Source organism: Homo sapiens, chromosome 5 (genome assembly GCF_000001405.40).
Source record: "Homo sapiens chromosome 5, GRCh38.p14 Primary Assembly".
NCBI classification, from domain to species: Eukaryota; Metazoa; Chordata; class Mammalia; order Primates; family Hominidae; genus Homo; species Homo sapiens.
The window spans coordinates 55,991,929-56,010,619 of NC_000005.10; the positions used below are offsets into that span (position 1 = coordinate 55,991,929).

An 18,691-nucleotide genomic window follows, 5' to 3' on the forward strand; every position below is an offset into this window, starting at 1 on the left:
TGCCATTTATAATTCGGTCTTATCTTTCATCACTCCCTACTAACCATCCCTGTAGACTCAGCAAACCACTAGACTTCCTCTAACATACCTTGTTCTTTCAGTCTGTGCTTCTACATATATTATTCCAATGTCTTTCCTGACTCTGCTGTGCACTACAAACTGCTTTTGAAGTATCATCTCTTATATGGAATTTCCCCCCACTTCAAACATCTTTGCTGTCAGTGTACTCTTACATCATTCCCTAACAGGACTCAGAACACTGCACAGTAATTGTTTCACATATCTTGATATCCTCAGAATCTACCATAGTTTGAGGCACCTGGTGGACAATTAAGGGTGGGTTTTTATAGACTTTCTGGTATGATCTTATTTTCTATCTACTCGCTGTCGCTCAAGCGTACTGTATGGAGACGCAGGATGTATCATGGTTAAGAGGTCAGATTCTGAAGCCAGGCTGTCTATGTATGACCTTTAGATCTACCACTTAGCTGGGCAAATTAATTAACCTTCTTGTGCCTGGGTTTCCCTATGTGTAAAAAGAGGATTTTATCCTATTATTATTAGACCTACTTCATAATATTATGAAGATTAAATGCCTTAATATGGGCAAAGTGCTCAAAACAGCAACTGGCACAACATAAGCACTAAATATATTGCCTGTTTTAATTAATAGACCTTAGTTACTGCTGATCCTTTCCACAAGCTAGTCCTATATTATGTTCTATATTCTCCATTCTACATTTTGTCCTCCATTCGCTATTATTAATGGGCTGTCTTCATTTTTCCCTTTATCCAAATCCTACCCAGGTTTCAAGGCCAACTTCTGGTAAATCCTTTGCTCATTCCAATCCTTAAATGCTCACTCCAATCCTTAAACGATCATTCCCTAATTTTAATATCTACAGGATTTTCTGCATCACTCTGCATTTAATTAAAACTGCTTTGCATCCTTGTAGTTTTTTTCGTATAAGTTTGTCAATCCAATTATTATAAACTCTTTGAAGGTCCTGATTACATCTCCTGCACCTTTGTGAGTTCGTACAGCAGGTAGTAATTGCTTAGTATTTGCTGTGTAAAATAATAAAGCACAATAGGAACCTCAACTCTGATCATTCTGCCTTTGCAATCAAAGAAACGGAGAAGCTGTGAGAACATTCCATGCTTCTCTAGGAGCCAAGCTGCAAATGTATTAGGGCCAGAGAATTCTGACTCCCATTAAAATGAGCAGCTCTGAAAGGAGGGAGCGGGGAATCCCTCCCTGCCACTGTAGAGGATTTATGGGTTGCCCTTAAGTTCCCAAACCAAATTGTGGCACTGGGGTTTTTATGAGAAACGTGTCAACATGACAAAATGATTCAGAGCACAGGATTTGGAGTCACACAGATCTAGTTTTCAGCGAGACTCCTGTTTCCTTCTCTATAAAGGGGACATTTTAACACCTACTTCACATGTATTTAACTTTCGCCCTAACACTGAACTGAAGTGCAAAGCCTTGGAAACAAATTTAAATAAATTGAAAATACTGCAATTCACAAATAAGAGTGAGAACAACATTTTTAGTTACGTAAGACTATATTATATTAAATTAGGTGGCAGCAGTATTTATAATAATCTAAATTGCCTGTGAGAAAATTAAACTGGTATTGTCAATACATACTTAAAATAAGAAAAAAATCCCACTACAGTCTGTCCTTTTTGACACTTTCTCCTTCCTGTAATTTTTTTCTTTCACTCAAGATTAAAAACAAACGTTCAAGATTATCCCTAAAGAGAAATAGTTGGAAAGCACAATTTAATAGCAAGTTGGTTCTATAAATGTAATATTTCAGTTCATAGTTCAAAAATACTTCCAAATAGGAATTAACATGAATTTAAGAAATTAACATAATGGCACACAGCTAAACTGATGATCTGAGTCCGTAATTTCAAATTAAGAGTTGTTCCAACTTGAAGCTGGCAGTCATACACAGTTTAAAGGGTTTGTTTACAGCACTGTCAAAAGCAAATACCACAATCTTTCAGAAAATTCACCCTGGCATTCTAATAACTAGTTATTTTAAGGCAGTATAATTGTTGAAATACTTCACAAACTAAGCCAAAATGCGTTTCCTTCTGAAGGCAAAAAAAAAAAAAAAAAAAAAAGGTGACGTCTTATTTTTAACCTGTGATTTTTTTTTTTTTTCAGTTTCGGATTATGAAATAAAATGCTGTTCATCCACTGAAGAACAGACCCTTGCTTCCTGCACTATCTTCAAAAGTTTAGGTCGGAGGAGGTAAAATTTTAAAAACTGATTTGTTCTCCTTGGGATACAGTGAGATGTGGAATTCGTTAGGAATGATAATTATTAATAGAAAAGATCAAAAGAAGGAAAGAAACGTTAATAGTGTTTATAAGCATTGTGAACTTTCAACAAAGCTGAAACGTTACGATTTCAAGATGAAAAAACGGCTTTGGGGAAGGGAAATCCACCTCGAGAATGAAGACAAGTGCGGAGCGAATAGAATTTCAGGGGAGATGAAAAGGGGATTGGGAAAAACGTGGGATCTGGTAACAAAAAGGGGGGTTTGTTCTTGAAGGGCGTTCTGCGGGGCGGGCGTTAAGAGGGGTGCGTGCGTGCGCCTGGGTGAAGTTTGTACTCAGGGCTGCGATAATCGAGGTGACAAAGTTGTGGAAGTAGAATTCGGAGGTCCGGGAGCAGGAAGGGGAAGGAATGTGGGGATTTCCAGGCTGGGCTGACAAGTTCCGGGCGCTGCTCTCAGGGGGAAGGGAGGTCTCCTCGAGTGCCAGATAGCCCGTCCGAAACCACCGACACTCTAACTCCAGCTACGCGACCCAGCACCCGGCCCCTCCTCACCTCAGGCCGCGCCGCCTCGACCCTCCGCGTCTCCACAGCGCACGAACCCCTTGGCGCCAGGCTGGGCCAGACCCGTCGGCCTGGCAGGCGCGGCCCCCGGTTCAGCTGCGCCGGGGCGGCCCAGCGCGACTCCGCGGGCCTTTTGGCTGCTCGCCCCGGCTCCGGAACACTGTCAGATCCTTCTCCGCAGAGGTAGCGCGCCACCCCAGTCCCGCGGCGGGGCGGGGCGCTCCCCAATCCCGCCCAGCTGCGCCCCCGGCCGGCCAACGCTGCGCCCCGCCCCCTACCGGGACCTAGGCGCTGATTGGCCCCTGAGAGACCCTTTGCGCCCAGGCATTGGTCCAGTGGCCGCCTGTCGACGAGGGGGCGGGACTCCGAGGGGTAGCGATTCCCGTAACGCGGCTCTTCGCGTCCCGGATTCCGGTGGCTGCGTCCGCGTCGCCTCTCCCAGACTAGATCGAAGGGTTCCCCCCACCTCCCCTCTGTGGGCGGAAAGAGCGGAATGTTCCATTTTTCTGTGGAATAACGGGGTCATGAACTGGAGCCCGGGTGCTGCCCGCCGCCCGCTGCCCCCGCCCTCCCTTCTCGCCAGGGCGCCTGCGGCCTCTCTTCGCGGCCTTCCCCGAGGGACTCAGAGCCGCGAGGGACCGCCTAGCTCCCTTGGGGATGGGGAAGGCGTGGGAGCCTCTTGGGGAAAGTGAAGAGCTCGGTGGCCGTGACTCCGCACGAGACTGCGGCAGATTGTGGCGGCGGCTTCTCTCCAAGACTTACGTAAACGAGCCTTGCCACAGTACTTTTTTAAATTAGTAAATGAGTTTGGGTGCGATTGATCAGTGAGCCCCAGAGGTGGTGGCCCACCAAGCGACTAGTGTTTCTTTGCGGTTTGTACCTCCCCGTTTATGATAAAAAATACCGGGTAAAAACCTATTCATCCCGCCTCCGCCCCCCCCTTTCCCTCAGAAAATGGACCTCAAGGCTCATGATGTTTGTTTCTCCCCAAAGGAAGATGAGAATCTTGAGTTAAAAGATAAGGCATGTGCGTGCGTGCGTGTGGGGTGTGTGCGTGGGTGTCTGTAAAAGTAAACACCCAAAGGTAGAGGTTTTTGTGGAAGAATGAGAGGATATAGGAAGGAAATAATGGTTTAATGAACTTAAATTATATCCATAAATTAACAATTATAAAGTTCTTCATTATATTGAGGATTCAGATAGAGTAAAACATAGATCGAATTTTAATCTCTTAGTTGTTGATCAGATAATTTATAAAAGGGCAAAGTGGGCCTGCTAACGGAGTCGCAGGCAAAGTAGATGGTGCTGCAGCTGATGTGTTCAGCTCTTGCTCCTCCCTGTCATCCTATATCTAACCTATAGATTGTGACCAGATTCTGTTCTAGCTTTGCCATTTAGAGGGGTGTTTATTTTAAAACAAATTTTTATAAAAATTTGTTAAATTGAAAATTTTGTATAGATCCAGGAAACTTGATTTTTTTGTTGTTGTTCACAGTCTCACTCTGTCACCCAGGCTGGAGTGCAGTGGCTGGATCATGCTCACCGCACGTTCAAATTCCTGGGCTCTAGCGATCCTCCCACCTCAACCTCCCAAGTATCTCAGACTACAGGTGCCCCTACAATACCTGGCCAATTTTTAAAATTTTTGGAGAGACAAGATTTTGGTATGCTGACCCGGCTGGTCTTGAACTGCTGGCAACAAACGATCCTCCGGCCTTAGTGGCCTCCCAAAGTGCTGAGATAACAGGTGTGATGCAAAGATGTATTTAGGGGAGATGTATAGTGGTTAAATGTACCCTCTGGTTCTAGATTGCCTAGGTTTAAATGCTGATGCCTCTATTTCTCATCTCTGTGACCTTGGGCAAGTCTTTTCAAATTTCTTCATCTGCAAAATGAGAATAACAATACCAACCTAACAGGATTGTTGCAAGGATTAAATGAGTTAAAATACATACAGTGTTTGGCACATAGTAGGTGCTCTGTAAGTATCAGCTATAATCATTATTGAATGTCTACTCGGTCAACACTTCTGAAATATTTTAGTATCACAACATATATTAAAAATGATGATATTTTGCTGGACGGGGAAGGGCAGGTACACAGAAGTGGATTGATATGTCACAACACACCAGCCTGCCTTGGCACCATTAGGAAAACAAATGACTGAGTTAGTGCTTTTATGGGTGTCTTTTTATTGGCTCAGCTCAGGTCCTGCTCCCAAGAAACTCACATTTTATGGGAGTAGTTAAAGTCTGAGGCCAAAAGGATGAATCAATATTGGAGAAGTATTTTTCAGAGCAACAGGACGGAAGACCTCTGCTGTGCTGGAATTACATGACTTTGCAGATACCTCTGTAGAGTATTGGCCTTGAAATTACGAATTTCAGATTAAGGATTTGTTACTAGAAAGCCTTGTCAAAATGCAAAGGTAAGTAGGGGAAAGTAGTATATTAATGGAGAACTCTCCATTTGTGTCCTGTGACCATTTGAGATTTTAGATATGTCAAGAGCAGGCCGGGTGCAGTGGCTCACACCTGTAATCCCAGCATTTTGGGAGGCTGAGGCAGGCGGATCACTTGAGGCCAGGAATTCAAGACCAGCCTGGTGAAACCCCAACTCTATTAAAAATACAAAGATTAGCCAGGCATGGTGGTGGGTGCCTGTAATCCCAGTTACTTGGGAGGCTGAGGCACGAGAATCACTTGAACCCAGGAGGCAGAGGTTGCAGTGAGCTGAGATCCTGCCACTGCACTCCAGCCTGGGTGACAGAGCAAAACTCCTTCTCAAAAAAAAAAAAAAAAAAAAAAAGAGATTGAGGAAACTGTACAGTGAGAAAGTAACATGAAGGCACCAAAATTACAATTACTTGGGAGTAAGTGAGCAAAGCTTAGGAAATTGTGCCATGGAACAAAGGTGATAAATGTCAAAGACAAACTTTGCCTGCATTTCTAATTCCCTAAATCTGGTGCTGACTAGGATATCCCTTTACTTCCTTGTCTGTGCCCAGTTATGTTTCTGAAATTCTGTGTCAGCCCTGGAATTATCCTCATGTTCTGTATCACCTTAATGATTTCAGCATCCATGTTCATGACTCATTAGCACTCTGACCTCACAATTTCTCATCGTTTTCTTTTCCAATCATCTTCAACTTCACTCTGTATCAGCAACCCACAGATGGAGCCACACCTTCAACCTAGTCATCAATGAAATTACTTCCCCTCCAAAATGCTGGATTGTGAGTTTCCCTCTCTGTACCTACAGCCACCTACCCCCATCTATCTCTATTCTGTGGTCATTCCCATTGAATCTGTAATTTGTCCTCAATGTGACAGCCTGACAGCCAGTCTTTCTTCTCATAGTTTATCAGCTGTTTCCTATCATTTTTTATCTTACTTACCAGTAAGAACCCCCTTTTTTTTTTTGAGACGGAGTTTTGCTGTTGTTGTCCAGGCTGGGGTGCAATGGCACGATCTTGGCTCACCGCAACCTCCGCCTCCCTGGTTCAAGTGATTCTCCTGCCTCAGCCTCCCAAGTAGCTGAGATTACAGGTGCTCACCACCATGCCTGGCTAATTTTTTGTACTTTTAGTACAGACGGGGTTTCACCAAGTTGGCCAGGCTGATCTCAACTCCTAAAAGTGATGGGATTACAGGGGTGAGCCACCGCCCCCCAAGAACCCTTTTATCAACCATTTTAACTGCACTATTCTCTTCAGTTCCCTTGACCTTCAGCTATGTTTACCTTATCAGGCTATTTCCTAACTATTTCCTTTTTCCTTGAGCTATCAGCCCCACCGTAACATTTATTCTTAGTACAGAACCTTGTTTTACTCCCTTAAAATCAAGACCATCATTTGTGAGCATCCTTGACTTTTCTCCAACTTAGGAAGCAAATAGATATTTATCCTCTTTCTCTTTTCCCCACTCAGAGGAAGAAAGGCCCCTTTACTTTTAAAAGGTTAATTTCTCCTCCTCTGTTCTTGGTACTACTTTAAGTCTAGTCCCCTAGTTTTATATTTTTCATTATTAACACTAAATGACTTTGAAATGTTTAAAAATTAGATATTAACTCAGTGGTGAGTTGAGGACAGCCTCTCTGCCTGTGTTAAAACCTTTGTAACCTGATAGCACCTAATTCACCAAAATTAAAAATAATTAAATGTCTAAAAATGAAGAATGTTAAGCTACATTGAAATTCACTTAACAAAATGAGGTGAGAATGAAAAATGAACTTAAATTTCCAAACTAGAAGACAAGAGAAATTCATTTCATAGCAACAAAACTCAAAACCATTATGACTGCTATTTCAAAAAATGTTTTGAAGAATGTATATTCAGAAAAATCAACATACCATAAGAGTACAGCCTGAAAATTTTTGACAAAATGAACACATTCATGTTTATCATCTATATCAAGAAACAGAAGGCCTGGCACGGTGGCTCACACCAGTAATCCCAGCACTTCCGGAGGCCAAGGCGGGCAGATCACGAGGTCAGGAGTTCGAGACCAGCCTGGCCAACGTGGTGAAACCTCATCTCTACTAAAAATACAAAAATTAGCTGGGCTTGGTGGTGCATTCCTGTAATCCCAGCTACTGGGGAGGCTGAGGCAGGAGAATGGCTTGAACCTAGGAGGCGGAGGTTGTAGTGAGCCAAGATTGTAGTGAGCCAAGGTTGTATAGTGAGCCACTACACTCCAGCCTGGGTGACAGAGCAAGACTTGGTCTCAAAAAGAAAAAAAAAAGAAAGAAATAGAAAATAGTCTGGGTGCGGTGGCTCATACCTGTAATCCCAGCACTTTGGGAGGCCAGAGGCTAAAGCGGGTAGGTCACAAGGTCAAAAGTTTGAGACTATCCTGGCCAACGTGGTGAAACCCAGTCTCTACTAAAAATACAAAAATTAGCCAGGCGTGGTGGCACACGCCTGTAGTCTCAGCCACTCGGGAGGTTGAGATATGAGAATCGCTTGAACCCGGGAGGCAGAGGTTGCAGTGAGCTGAGATCACGCCACTGCACTCCAGCCTGGTGACAAAGTGAGACTCTGTCTTAAAAAAAAAAAGAAACAGAAAATGACCAGTACCCCAAAAGGGCCCTCCTCCCATCCAGTTATTGGAAGGTCATAACTGACCACTATTCTAATGTCATAGCGTTGTACCCAAGCGAGTTAGAGAAAACGACACACTTTGAGACGAATTAAGAGTCCTTTATTAGCCAGCGACCGAGAGATAGCTAACGCTCACAATTCTCTCTGCCCCGAAGAAGGGGCTAGATTTTCTTTTATACTTTGGTTTAGAAAGGGGAGGGGGGTCTAGTTAAAACAATTTTACAGAAATAAAGTAGGCAAAAAGTTAAAAGGATAAATGGTTACAGGAAAGTAAACAGTTCCAGGTGCAGGGGCTTTAAGACTATTACAAGATGATAGACTCAGGGCTTTGGGTGTTATCAATCAGACGAATTCCTGGGAATTGCGGATATAGCTTGCCACAGTATCTTATCAGTTAATTGCATTCTTGGATGTGCTGGGAGTCAGCTTGCACAAGTTAAGTCCTTGAGGAAGGGGCTGCCAGTGAAAGAGTCAAGATGGAGTCTGTCTGGCTCTCTTAGCTAAGGGAGAGTCAATTCAGGTGGAAACAAGCCTAAAAACAGGGTTAGTAAAAACAAGGTTGGGCATTACAATAGTTTTATGCTGTCTTTTTAAACTTGAAAAGTGTACAGAAAAATTTTTTCACATCAGATGGGTAATGTGCCAACGTCGTAACAAGGTTTGCGGGAGGCACATCTCACACATGCACATGAAAACCCAATCATCAGGCTTATAAACTACAAAAGAATCTGAAACTTCTTAGGCTTAATATTAGGTTGGTGCAAAAGTAATTTCTGCCATTACTTTTAATGGTGAAAACCACAATTTTACACCAACGTAATATATTTACTTATTTTATTTTAATGAATATACTAAACCAAGAGAGTTTAAAATGAAATAAGTACTGCTCTGTGGCCGGGCGTAGTGGCTCACGCCTGTAATCCCAGCACTTTGGGAGGCCGAGACGGGCGGATCACAAGGTCAGGAGATCGAGACCATCCTGGCTAACACGGTGAAACCCCATCTCTACTAAAAAATACAAAAAATTAGCTGGGCGTGGTGGTGGGCGCCTGTAGTCCCAGCTACTTGGGAGGCTGAAGCAGGAGAATGGTGTGAACCCGGGAGGTGGAGCTTGCAGTGAGCCGAGATTGCACCACTGCACTCCAGCCTGGGTGATAGAGCAAGACTCTGTCTCAAAAAAAAAAAAGAAAGAAATAAGCACTGCTCTGTAAAGGTAAACACAGAGGAAGGGATCTAGCTCAGAGATCTCCATACTGTGGACTTCCAGGGATAACCCTGGTCAAATAGCCATGGGCTGGTCAATGATTTTGAGTTACTCTTTGAGAGGGAAGCTTGGCTTCAGAGAAGGAAAGGCCAGTGCAAGACATGTGAGCAGCAGTTAGGTGCATCCTATTCCTAGACACATACATAGGATAAGGAAGTCAGGTATTGGGACTGTAGCTTTGGAATGGACTATACTTGCTTCAGAATATTATCAGGGGGAGTTTGAGAAGCAAGGGCTTTCCTTCGTTGATTCTCCTTTCACCAGTCTTCCTGGAAAGAATATTCTGCAGTTACAAAATAGGTTCCTTGGCTGCCAGTCTGATACTTGTGCTAAAACCAAATAGATGAAAAAGTATCAACATGAATTTTAAAAAATATATTGTGTGAGCTTGTATAGCTAAGAATTCCCAGCCCCCTACATAGGATCTGAAGAAAGATCTAGTACTAATTGTATTAAATAATGGTTTAGGCAAATGTGTATCTGTCTCCTTAAGAGAGGAAGGCAGTCCCTACTGTAAAGTAAAAATGAAATGGATATACTTCCTGAGAGGGCTGGAATTTTCTGATAATTGTCCCCTCTGATTTTTCACAGGATTTACGGAATGGCCATCTTCCATAATTAACAAATAAATAAATGAAATTTAATGTCAGGGTCAAATGAAACTGGAAACAAAGCTTATCTGGTGATATATCAAATTATGAGAGTCATTATTTGGATGTAAGGATATATGACAGATAGACTCTTAGGAGAAATGCTATGACCTCCTGCTTCTTGGTATTCCTTGTGTGATTTCCTCCTCTTGAGTGTGAAGGCATGTATGTCATTGAGTTATATAAGATAGTGCCCATCTTGCTAGTGTCTCTCTCTCTCTTGTGGCTCTGAAAAATCAAGCTGCCTGCCATGTTTGAGCTTTGATATGGAAAGACCCACATGTTAAGGAACTGAGGGCAGACTCTGCCAACAGCTAGCTTTGAAACTGAATCTCCCGGCCAGGCACAGTGGCTCATGCCTTTAATCCCAGCACTTTGGGAGGCCAAGGTGGGTGGATCACAAGGTCAGGAGTTCAAGACCAGCCTGGCCAAGATGGTGAAACCCCATCTCTACTAAAAATACAAAAATTAGCTGGGTGTGGTGGCAGGCACCTGTAATCCCAGCTACCCAGGAGGCTGAGGGAGAGAATTTCTTGAACCCAGGAGGCAGAGGTTGCAGTGAGCTGAGATCACGCCACTGCACTCCAGCCTGGGTGGCAGAGCGAGACTCCATCTCAAAAAAAAAAAAAAAAGAGAGAAAGAAACCAAATCTCTCAGTCCTACAACCTCAAGGAACTGAATTTTGCCAACAAAAGCAGATCCTTCCCCAGTCAAGCCTCAGATGAGACAGCATCCTCAGCTAACAACTTGTTTGCAGCCTCATGAGAACTGAAGCAGAGAACCCAGCTAAACTGTGCCTAGACTCCTGACCACAGAAACTGAGATAATAAATGTGTGTTGTTTTAAGCTGCCAAGTATGTGATAATTTGTTATGTAGTGGAGAACTAATACAACAGGGAAAAGTTAAAAGCTATTCACATAAATATTTATAATGGATACTATTTCTACACATTTAAATCAAGCTTCTCTTACGTTCATAAGAAGATACGAATCTGGAGAAGGAAATTATATCAAGCAGAACGCTGCTCTGGTGTTGTGAAGACGGGATCCCACCATTCTAATGTATTCAATTTATTTATTCAATAAGTTTTGAGCATCAACTATGTTCCAGGCACTGAGATATTAATCTAAGGAAGACACACGTGTTGTCCTCATTGAGGAGCTCAAAAGTCTAATACATAAACCAACAATCATACAAAAATCATAGCCATGTTACAGTGCTATGAGGAAGATGTTAAGAGAATATTCTGGAAGTACTCATACATAAATACTTCAGAAACTGGGCATTATAAGAAGTCAGTTGCCTCTCTCTACTTTCAGTTCTACATTTTTATACCTTGTAGTGGATTTAAAATGGCCACAAATTCTTCAATACTCTTCTATGGAGAGATTTGAGGGCTATTTCCCTTCATCTTGAATTTAGGCAGGCTTGTTCAGGGTCTGGCTTTTAAGAGGAGCTTTCACCTTGGTCTGTGGAAGTCCTGAGTCACTGTGTACAAAGTCCATCTACCTTATTACACCATCTGGAGAGAGCTGAGACTACAGGGAGAGGGGGAGTGGCCCGGCTGATCCCAGTCTTCCTAGTGACCCTGCCCAGGAACTTGGCATGTGAGTAAAGCCATCTTGGAACCTCCATACCAGACCAGCCACGAGATGAATAATACTAACTGATCCCAGTCAATGCCACATAGAGCAGAAGAACTGCCTAACTGAATTCTTTCCAAACTGCTGACTCAAAAATTTGTATGGTATAATAAAATGTTTGTTTTAAGTCACTGTTTTGTTAGGAGTAATAAGCAACCAGAATAAAATTCTAATCTTTATCATGTACCGTGCTGAAAATCTGACCATCTCACTCTCCTTAAAACTCCGTCAATCCCTTCCCATTACCCAAATCCCTCTTGTATGTCATAGAAGTCCCTCATTACGTGACCTCTACCTACTTCTCTGGTCTTGTCTCCTAACATGGCCTCCAACTCCAGGCTCTCATATTACCTATTTGCTAATGGTTCCTGGGCCAGCATCCAACATACTGTTCCCTCCTTCCATGCCAAGAAGAGACAGCTTATTCTGTTTCCTTGGCCGGTCATTGCCTTCTTCATTTGCTTTGCCTAACTTGCTCACCGTGTAAAAATATTCATCTAAGTAGTTACTTCCTCTCAGAAGTCTGCTCTAGGCCATGAGAAACTCACAGCCAAAAATGCAAATGATTCCAGATGATCATTCACTGTAGAAAAGGAATTGATGGGCCGGGCGTGGTGGCTCATGCCTGTAATCCCAGCACTTTGGGAGGCCGAGGCATTAGGATCACAAGGTCAGGAGATTGAGACCATCCTGGCCAACATGGTGAAGCCCGGTCTCTACTAAAAATACAAAAACTTTGCTGGGCGTGGTGGCGCACACCAGTAGTCCCAGCTACTCAGGAGGCTAAGGCAGGAGAATTGCTTGAACCCAGGAGGCAGAGGTTGCAGTAAGCTGAGATTGCGCCACTGCACGCCAGCCTGGTGACAGAACGAGACTCCATCTCAAAAAAAGAAAGAAAGAAAAAGAAAAGAAAGAAAAGGAATTGAGGAAGAGATTTCTAGACCACAGAGCAAAAAGGGAATGGGGGAACCCAGATAAAATGGCAGACTGAAAAAATTCTTTGCTCTTTAAGTTAGTCTCTCCCAACATATACAATGTCATGGATGCTGTATTAGTCATTTGAACAAAGTGCTATGTTAATTCAGAAAAGAGACAATTAATTTTCCCTGGAGAGACTGGAGATGCTTTCTAGAGGAAGTGTGACATTGAAGCAAGTTCATGAAAGATGAGTAGGAACTCACTAAGGGAGATAATGGAGGGAAGCAGTTCTTGGCAGAGGGAACAGCAAGAGGAAGCAGTGGGAATGCGAAAGGACAAGGTATTACCAAGAGGTCTGGTGAGAGTAGATCAGGGAGTGCGGGGTGAGAAATAAATTGAGACGAGAAGGTGGAGGCCTTCCTTAAAAGCCATGCTACACAGGGGATTTACACTTTATTTTGTAGGGAGATATTAGAATTTTTAAAGCAGGATACTGTTGAGAACAGATTTGTGATTCAGAAAGCAAATTATATTAATACTGTGAAGGATGAATTGGGGGAACAAGAAACTGGAAGAGAGCTTGAACTAGAATAGCTCCTTATTTTGGAAGAGAAGGAAGAGGGTGTTCTGAATAATGCCAGGGAGATAGAATGGCAAGACTTGACAGTGGGATATGGTAAGAAATGTATGGACAGATCTGTGATCAAAGCCTGGGTTAATCATTGCGGATAAGCTGTATATTCTTAAGTAATTTCTTCCCCCTCCCCTCCCCTCCCCTCCCCTTCCCTCCTCTGTCCTCCCCTCCCCTGTTCTCTCCTCTCCTTTTTTTTTTCTTTGAGACAGGGTCTGGCTTTATTGCCCAGGCTGGAGTGCAGTGATGGGATCATAGCTCACTGCAGCCTCAAACTCCTGGGCTCAAGCGACTTTTCCACCTCAGCCTCCTAAGGAGCTGGGACTATAGGCACACACCACCATGTGTGGCTAATTTTTTTGATTTTTTGTAGATACAGGGTCTCACTTTATTGCCCAGACTGATCTCAAACTCCTGGGCTTTCACTCTAGTTGTGTCCTTTGTGGTTCTTGGATGTCATCACCCCCACATTAGGCACCTGCAGGTATGTCCTTGTCCCCACCTGAGCTCTGGATGTACATTCCATGCTACTTTCCACTTTTGTGTCTCATGGTCATGACTGTAAGTCCCCTTGGACCCTTTGTCAGCTAAATTATGTGTCTTTCTTGGGGGCCCGTTAGCTTTTCTGTGCCACTCTCGGGGCTGCAAAAGATTCAGAGGGACTGCCTCAGACTTTCCCTACCTAGGGCACTATATGTGGTCATCTTTACCTTAATTCTGTGACAACATTGTGGTCTAGGAAACATCTGCTAGGCTGCTGCCTCCCAGGATTCCAGATGTTAATAGATTCCCAACATTGTCATGAGCCTCCACCATGTCTCCCCAACTTGGAGCTAACCCCAAGTAAGGGGCATGGTGGAGGACCTTTTCTTAGATCTTTATTACCTGAAGTTATTTTGCTTAACACTCATTTCTCTACTTTTGCGCTCCCCAACTTGGAAAGTCTTTATCTAGCCTAGGGGTGGGGGTGGGGTAGGGGGGTTGATATTAGTGGGAGGGGCAATTAAGATGGGTCAGCAAGTATCTCCCCAAATCTTTCTGTCTTACTACTAAGGCTTTTGAATTTGAGAGTCCAAGAGTTTGGCACCTTCATTCTCTGCTAGTCAGTGGGTTTTTGTTGTTTGTCTTTCTAATGCAATCAGGGAGAGTTGTTAAGTGAAGAGTGTAGAGAGAAAAAAATTCTGGAACAAATACCTTACTTAAATATCTTGATATGCTGAAATAAAGTTTTTGTCTCTTCCAAATATATGCATCCTCTTCTCACATCTGCCAAGACAGTCATAGGTAAGAAACCTCAAATTAGAATAAAGAGTATCCGCTTCCTTAATCTGATTTCTGTGTGCAGATAATGAGAAGAGGCGAAGGATCAACCAGATTCTGAAAACTTGCTTTCAGGTACCAGGGGCCAGAGCATAAAACTAGATATTTTCCCAGGATTGATTGATTTAGGTACTGACCCTCAGGGGTCACATAGAAAATTTCCCAGTGACATTAAAGGAAGCCCATACTCTATTGTGTAAGAAAAGAGAAAAACTAAACAAGCTGCCAGGTGTTGAACTTCTCCTTGTGTCCAGTTCTCGTTCTGCCTTGTGGAGCTGTAGGAGAGGGTCACCAATGCCCAGACATGCCATTACACCTTCCCTTCTTTTGCCCACCTTCTTACCTCTTAACATCATTCTCATGAATTTTTTTTCATATACTTGCTACCTTTTTCTAACTTTATAAAGACAGAAAAATAAATGAAGAATGAATCATCTGTCTTGTGTGTTAGATGTCATGGCAGGAGGTAGAAAGGAAACTGAATATGTCTTTAAACCCCTGGAGCATCTAGCTACAGATGGACTAAATGGTCCAACCCAAATGCAGAAAATCAGTGTAAACCACTTAGACTGTGATTCTGATTTCAATAAAAAGTGAATTTTTTTTCCAAGTAGGAATATGTTAAGCTGTTTTCTCTAATCAGAGACAAATTTTCAATGCCTGGATAACAAGTATTATCCTAAGTGCTACCCCTTTTTGTGTGCCAGCTATGTGACAGAAACTCACTATACCAGACACTTTATATCCCAATTAATCTTTGCAACAAACAGGGCAGGAAATAGCAGTTGTTCACTGTAGTCACACTCTTATGACCTAGAAGTGTTAATTTATATATATGTAAATTGTACATCTTCCTTATATATTATAATTATATAATTAAATTATACAATTATTATATATTATATTATATATTATATATATTATATGATATATGATATATGATATATATTATATTATATATTATTTATATATTTAATATATATCATATATAATATATATTATATATTATACAATATATACATTATATATTATATATTATACAATATATACATTATATATTATATACTATATATTATATATCATATATACTATATATAATATATAATATATGATATACTATATAATATATAATATATGATATAATATACTATGATATATAATATATGATATATGATATATCAAATATATAATATACGATATATAATATATAATATATGATATCATATATTATATATTATATATATTATATATTATATATTATATTTTATATATGATATATGATATATCATATATCATATATAATATATATGATATATCATATATCATATATAATATATATATTTTATATATTATATATGATATAATATATATAATATATGATACATGATATATAATATTATATATTATATAATATATTACATATAATATATAATATAATATATATAATATATACTATATAATATAATATAGGATATATAATATATATAATAATTATATTATATAGTATATATTATATATAATATATACTATATAATATAATTATATAATTATATAATTAAATTATATAATTAAATTATGATTTATATAATTATATATTCCTTATATATTATAAATGTATATATTATATATTTATTGTATATAAATATTATATATATAAAGAAACACAGTCTCTCTGTCATGCAGTGGCTCTATCATAGCTCACTGCAGCCTCAAACTCTTAAGCTCAAGTGATCCTCCGGCCTCAGCCTCCTAAGTAGCTGGGACTACAGGTGTGTGCCATTACGCCCAGCTAATTAAAAAAAATTTTTGTAGAGATGAGGTCTCCCTATGTTGCCCAAGCTGGTGTCAAACTCCTGGCCTCAAGCAATCCTCTTGCCTTGGCCTCCTAAATTGCTGGAACTACAAGCATGAGCCACTACACACAGCTATTTTGGTGTATTTCTAATATCTTTTAGATGCATATAATTTTTTATTTGTTTTGTCAATTACCACCATGGCCTAAACAATTTCCTATGTTGTTAAAAGCTTATTTTACTGACTACACTCATGACGTTTTTAATAGTGCATTGAAATTTTCCAATAAATTTCACAGATATATTGGGAGTAGACATAGCAGAGGGTATGGTAGCCTCAGATTAGCCTGGGTGTAATCTTGGAAGGAGGCAACTGCCTTGCTGCTCCCTCTACTTTTGCCTCTCCTGTAGCCAAGCCTCAGGAGAGGCTTTTCTGCATGGTTTCCAGGGTTTGGTTTGTGAGGGAAGAAGATGAGGGTAAAGTCAACTCAAACTTCATCATAGCATTGTGCCCACTTTGCCCTGTCACTGCCATTCTCCAGCAGAAACACTTTGGACACCAACACATGCTCCCTCTTGGAGAAACTTTCTAGTTTGGGTAAAAAGACCAAAAAGTGGGAAAAAATTAATTAGAAATATGGAGATCATGGGTGGAAGGAGCTACCATGGCATGACCCTGAAAGCCCTCAGCATATTCTGGCATGGATCTCTGAGGAAATACAAGATGACCTCTGTGTGAGGTGTTTTTCATGTTGGTTGGAATTTTCACTGGTAAGAACACAAGTACCTTTAAGCTTTGGCCAGAAGGTTTCAGATCTTGAATAAACCCAAACTCATTTGTGCTTTTTCTAAGTAGAATAGTCAGGTTGAACCTGTGGATCAACAGTTGACATTATGCCAACCAAAATATTTCTCTTTTTGGAAGCAACTAATGAGTTTCAATAATTCTTCTTGAGTCTTTCTCACATAAGGAAACAGGGCACATCATTAAAACTGCCCTGGAGGAAATTATATGATAATCTTTGTAAAACTAACATTCCAGAAGGGAGGGGACTTTACCAATGCAGGGGATTATTAATAGCTATTTTGTGCCTTCAGATGGCATGATGCTTTATGTGTTAGTGAATTTCACAGGATCACATATGTGCAAGGGGGCCAGGCTCGGATCAAGGGGGTATGTGGCTGCTGGCTCTGATTTTTGTTCTGCTGGGCCTTGGTGGAAGCAACCAGTTAGGCAAATAGAGCCAGGCACACTATCCTTAATGTATTAGACAATTGGTAATTCTTTGTTGTTTATGATGATAGGTTTGATAGGAATCTCTGGACATGGAGATAGAAAACCAGGTGGCTCTACCATTTATTAGTTCTATAACTATAGACAGATTACTTGTCTCACCTGAACCTCCATTTCCTTATCTGTAAAATGGAAATACAATCTCTTTCAATAAGTTGTTATGAAATCTAAATAAGATAATATATGTAAAAGTGCTAGACATGGAAAAATATTTTATAATTTTTAAGGTATATTATTATTGTTGTTATGATTATCATTACTAGTAAGTTTAATCATGGAAGACTTATGGACTGACTAGTAAACTAGGATAACTTAGTGGGGATCTGTGGTTTGGAGTCTCAAAATAATAATGAAAGCCTAAATGTCAGACCTTTTTTTTTTCCCCTGAGACGGAGTTTCACTCTTGTTGCTCAGGCTGGAGTGCAATGGTGCAATCTTGGCTCACCGCAATCTCTGCCTCCCGGGTTCAAGCAATTCTCCTGCCTCAGCCTCCTGAGTAGCTGGGATTACAGGTGCCTGCCACCACGACTGGCTAATTTTGTATTTTTAGTCGGGACAGGGTTTCTCCATGTTGGTCAGGCTGGTCTTGAACTCCCAACCTCAGGTAATCCGCCTGCCTTGGCCTCCCAAAGTGCTGGGATTACAGGCGTGAGCCACTGCGCCTGGCCCAGACCTTTATTTTACACACACACACACACACACACACACACACACACACACACACACACTGCAGTTTGTTTCACTGAAGACATTGGGACTTGGTTTCAATTAGTTTCTGGTTCAAACAATTAGTTAATGGCAGGATCAAGATGATAAACCACTGTTTTGGCCAGGCACGGTGGCTCATGCCTGTAATCCCAGCACTTTGGGAGGCCGAAGCGGGTGGATTACTTGAGGTCAGCCTGGCCAGCATGGTGAAACCCTATCTTTACTAAAAATACAAAAATTAGCTGGACATGATAGCTGGTGCCTATAATCCCAGCTACTTGGGAGGCTGAGGCAGGAGAATCACTTGCACCCAGAAGGTGGAGGTTGCAGTGAGCCAAGATCACACCACTGTACTCCAGCCTGGGAGACAGAGCGAGACTCTGTCTCAAAAAGAAAAAAACAGCAAAAAAATGATAAACCACTATTTCAAGTAAATGTGAAATAGGACTGAGCGTTGAAGCAGCCTGAATCTGACATTAAATCCTATGGTGACCTATCACATGG

The 18,691-nt window shown here is 41.3% G+C and overlaps 1 protein-coding gene, 1 long non-coding RNA gene and 1 other non-coding gene across 12 annotated transcripts in view, besides 5 other annotated features; 1 reads left to right on the top strand and 2 right to left on the bottom strand.

The window, feature by feature from the left end:
- Positions 1-3,035, bottom strand: part of IL6ST (interleukin 6 cytokine family signal transducer) — a 59,869-nt gene extending 56,834 nt beyond the window's left edge. For all 10 annotated transcript variants that reach the window (NR_157112.2, NR_120480.2, NM_001364276.2 and 7 more), the window contains exon 1: positions 2,856-3,035. The gene's annotated coding sequence lies outside the window, so the exon portion shown is untranslated. The remainder of the gene's footprint in view (positions 1-2,855) is intronic.
- Positions 1,803-4,121: a transcriptional cis regulatory region, noted in NCBI's record as "chr5:55289559-55291877 region (GRCh37/hg19 assembly coordinates) targeted for CRISPR interference". NCBI's record gives its function as "positively regulates IL6ST gene expression in GM12878 lymphoblastoid cells {active_cell/tissue: GM12878}" and the evidence as "EXISTENCE:mutant phenotype evidence [ECO:0000015][PMID:33828297]".
- Positions 2,766-3,245: a silencer, noted in NCBI's record as "silent region_16017". NCBI's record gives its function as "represses an Ori minimal core promoter by ATAC-STARR-seq in GM12878 lymphoblastoid cells {active_cell/tissue: GM12878}" and the evidence as "EXISTENCE:reporter gene assay evidence [ECO:0000049][PMID:35858748]".
- Positions 2,815-3,488: a transcriptional cis regulatory region, noted in NCBI's record as "chr5:55290571-55291244 region (GRCh37/hg19 assembly coordinates) targeted for CRISPR interference". NCBI's record gives its function as "positively regulates IL6ST gene expression in BJAB lymphoma cells, Jurkat T cells and THP-1 monocytic cells {active_cell/tissue: BJAB | Jurkat | THP-1}" and the evidence as "EXISTENCE:mutant phenotype evidence [ECO:0000015][PMID:33828297]".
- Positions 3,077-3,588: an enhancer, noted in NCBI's record as "H3K27ac hESC enhancer chr5:55290833-55291344 (GRCh37/hg19 assembly coordinates)". NCBI's record gives its function as "activates a minimal SCP1, AML or CMV promoter by ChIP-STARR-seq in naive H9 embryonic stem cells {active_cell/tissue: H9 hESC(naive)}" and the evidence as "EXISTENCE:reporter gene assay evidence [ECO:0000049][PMID:30033119]".
- IL6ST-DT (IL6ST divergent transcript) lies at positions 3,239-11,721 on the top strand. The gene is made up of 2 exons (NR_102755.1): positions 3,239-3,626; positions 9,821-11,721. It is a non-coding gene; the product is annotated as an IL6ST divergent transcript (long non-coding RNA).
- On the bottom strand, positions 8,590-8,693 carry LOC124901197 (small nucleolar RNA U13). The gene has a single exon (XR_007059161.1). It is a non-coding gene; the product is annotated as a small nucleolar RNA U13 (small nucleolar RNA).
- Positions 11,233-11,527: an enhancer, noted in NCBI's record as "tiled region #5314; HepG2 Activating DNase unmatched - State 5:Enh". NCBI's record gives its function as "activates a minimal TATA promoter and a strong SV40 promoter by Sharpr-MPRA in HepG2 cells {active_cell/tissue: HepG2}" and the evidence as "EXISTENCE:reporter gene assay evidence [ECO:0000049][PMID:27701403]".
- Positions 11,722-18,691: the final 6,970 nt, after the last annotated feature.